The sequence below is a fragment of the Homo sapiens genome, chromosome 13 (assembly GCF_000001405.40).
Source record: "Homo sapiens chromosome 13, GRCh38.p14 Primary Assembly".
Classification (NCBI taxonomy): Eukaryota; Metazoa; Chordata; class Mammalia; order Primates; family Hominidae; genus Homo; species Homo sapiens.
In genome coordinates this window covers 102,984,081-102,987,847 of record NC_000013.11, presented here as the reverse complement: position 1 = coordinate 102,987,847, position 3,767 = coordinate 102,984,081, and positions in this window count along the sequence as shown.

Genomic DNA, 3,767 nt, shown 5'->3' with positions numbered 1-3,767 from the left:
GATGTCCAGGCAGAAGTCTGCTGCAGGGGCAGAGCCCTCATAGAGAACCTCTGCTAGGGCAGTGGGGAAAAGAAATGTAGGATTGGAGTCCCCTAACAGAGTCCCCACTGGGGCACTGCCTAGAGGAGTTGTGAGAAGAGGGCCACTGTCCTCCAGACTCCAGTATGGAAGATCCTCCAAGAGCTTGCACCATGCACCTGGAAAAGCCAAAGACACTCAACACTAGCCAATGAAAGCAGCCAGGAGGGAGGCTGTACCCTGCAAAGCCACAGGGGCAGAGCTTTCCAAGGTCACGGGAGCCCCCCTCTTGCATCAGCGTGACCTGGATGTGAGTCATGGAGTCAAAGGAGATCATTTTGGAACTTTAAGGTTTAATGACTGCCCTATTGGATTTTGGATTTGCATCAGACCTGTAGCCCCTTTGTTTTGGCCAATTTCTCCCATCTGGAAAGGGTGTATTTACCCAATGCCTGTACCACCATTGTATCTAGGAAGTAACTAACTTCCTTTTGATTTTACAGGCTCATAGGCAGAAGGGACCTGTCTTGTCTCAGCTGAGATTTTGGACTTGGACTTTGGGTTAATGCTAGAATAAGCTAAGACTTTGGGGGACCGTTGGAAAGGCATGATTGTGTTTTGAAATGTGAGGGCATGAGATTTGGGAGGGGCCAGGGACGGTATGATATGGTTTGGCTGTGTGCCCACTCAAATCTCATCTTGAATTATAGTTCCCATAATCCCCACATGTGGTAGGAGGCAACTGGTGGGAGATAAATGAATCATGGAGGCAGTTTCCCTCATGCTATACTCATGATAGTAAGCTCTCAGAAGATTTGATGGCTTTATAAGGGACTTCCCCCTTCATTCATCTTTCATTCTTTTCCTTCCTGCCAAGTGAAGAAGGATGTGTTTGCTTCCTCTTCTGCCATGACTGTAAGTTTCCTGAGGCCTCCCCCGCCCTGCACAACTGTCAGTCAATTAAACCTCTTTCCTTTATAAATTACTCAGTCTCAGGCAGTTCTTTACAGCAGTGTGAGAGCAGACTAACACACTTAGCCAAAGGCAAATACAAGCAGAGAAACTCAGATGGAGAGTAGACCAAGACACCCGCTAAATTTCAAAGTCTCTTACAATCTTTTATACAACCTTATGAGACTCTTATGGCAAAAATATTACTTAAACATTGAATATGTCCAAAGGAAATTTACTTGTTGTTGAACATTTTCCCAAGGTTTTCTCAATATTAAAAAATGCCCATTGTGGTAGGTTGGATAAAGAAAATGTGGTACATACACACCATGGAATACTATGCAGCCATTAAAAAAGAATGAGATCATGTTCTTTGCAGGAACACAGTTGGAGATGGAGGCCATTAACCTTAGCAAACTAACGTAGGAACATAAAATCAAATACTGCATGTTCTCACTTAAAAGTAGAAGCTATATGATGAGAACACATGGACGTATACAGGAGAAGAGTACACAATGAGGCCTATTGGAGAGTAGAGGATGGAAGCTGGGAAGAGGGAAAGGATCAGGAAATATAACTGTTGGGTACTAGCCTTAGTACCTGGGTAATGAAATAATCTGCATAACAAATCCTCGTAACATGAGTTTACCTATACAACAAACCTACACATGTACCCCTAAACCTAAAATAAAAATTTTTTTTTTAAATTATTCTTCCAATCTCTGGAAATTGATTCAGTTCTAACCTTGCCCCAGAAATATAAATCTAGCTAAGAATAGGGCTTGACAATATGGTTTCTTGAAAAGTACTCCTCTACGTGGTAACTTACAACACCAGAAATCTAATGCAGGGCTTCTGTGTGCCAGGGAAGCTGCCACAGTATCGCATCAACATCACACTGAGTCATCGTCCGCAGTGATGGATGCACATAATCATAGTGCTCTTACAAAGACTATCTAATTTAATGCTGATGGAGTCACTGTATTGAGCAGTGAGATCTCTCCACTCAAAACATCTATGCTTGTTAAGTTTCACTAATGAATAATTTCGGACTGGACTAGGGAGGGTCCAGTCTTTCAGCACAGAAAGACTAAACTGCCTGACCTTCCCTAATCCAGCATTTGCCCCTGGATTAAAGGTGAACATCTGCTTTGGAAAATCAGAGCCTATTTCTCCTTAAGGGAGGCAAACCAAAGTTCCAGTTTAGAGTGTAAACTGGGATTGTCTCTGTTGGGCTGGGCGTAAACAATGAACCAGGGCTCTGATGCAGCAAAGCCCCCACTTGGGGACTTCACCAGATAACTGTCAGTTGGCAGGACGACGGTCAGAGGAACCTAGCTTAGTGCAAGCCTGGACTTGAAAGCCTGGACTTGAAAGTGATGGTGAGGTCAAGAATCGAGACCATCCTGGCCAACATGGTGAAAGCCTGTCTGCATTAAAAATACAAAAATTAGCCGGGTGTGGTGGCATGTGCCTACAGTCCCAGCTACTCAGGAAGCTGAGGCAGGAGAATCGCTTGAAGCTGGGAGGCGGAGTGAGCCGAGATCCCGCCGCTGCACTCCAGCCTGGCGACAGAGTAAGGCTCTGTCTCAAAAAAAAAAAAAAAAAAATGTGGGCCGCGCGGCGTGGTGGCTCACGCCTGTAATCCCAGCACTTTGGGAGGCCCAGGCAGGCGGATCACGAGGTCAGGAGATGGTAGCCATCCTGGCTAACATGGTGAAACCCCACGCCACTGCACTCCAGCCTGGTCGACAGAGCAAGACTCCATCTCAAAAAAAAAAAAAAAAAAAACTTGAAGTGATGGAATAGATATATTAAAGCACTGCCAACTTTCCTATATATGTATGATGGCAATAAAACACACTAATTATGACAATTATCATTTTGTATTCATCAGATATAGTTCAGGTTTTGTTTACAAATGAAAACTGATCAGTGATCTGAAATTCTTCATTAGTGGAATTTAACAAGCATAGATGTTTTGAGTGGAGAGATCTCACTGCTCACTACAGTGGCTCCATCAACATTAAATTAGATAGTATTTGTAAGAGCGCAATGATCATGTAAACATGTCATACCGTGCTATTAACCATACTCGCATGATAGACCAATCCCAGTAAGACACTGGGGGACATGGTTTATTGCTAATGCAGCATGGTTTTCTTTATGTAGCTAGGTCATCGATCAGTTCAAAACTTTCTGCAATAGAGAAAGTGATACCTGTGGGTATTCCAGACTGCTTATGACAGGGAAACCAACCTAGCTCAAGACTGAATAAACAGCACATAACCATCCTGGTGATCAAATGAGCTGTAACAAGAATATGAGTTCCTGGATCAAAGAAACCCGTAGAATCTCCATAAAATATGGCAAAAATTACAGACTGGTCCCAGAACCTTTCATATCCTAAGCTTCTTCTCTAAGAAGCTCTTTTTCAAAGTCTCTCTCTTTTTCCGGAGATGAAGCAGAACACGCTGACATAGACAATTTGATAAAGGCATTTTAATGCTTCTGTATTAATGCAGTTGCATAAAAATGAACATGACAAAATGTTAAAAGCACAATTTTTTTACTCAATAACGTGAATAACAGAAATCAAGCTCTACTCCATTCCTGAGCCCCTCCTCTACCCTACCCCCGGGGACATATCCAGTAATAGGCTAAGAATCAAGGATAGAGTGGTGATATCTGTTTTTCACATTACTTAGAACATTTTTTTTAAAGCAGAGTATTTTATAAGGTTTTTTAAGGAGGCTAAAAATATCTCCAAAAAGCCACATTCTAACGTTATATAGCTA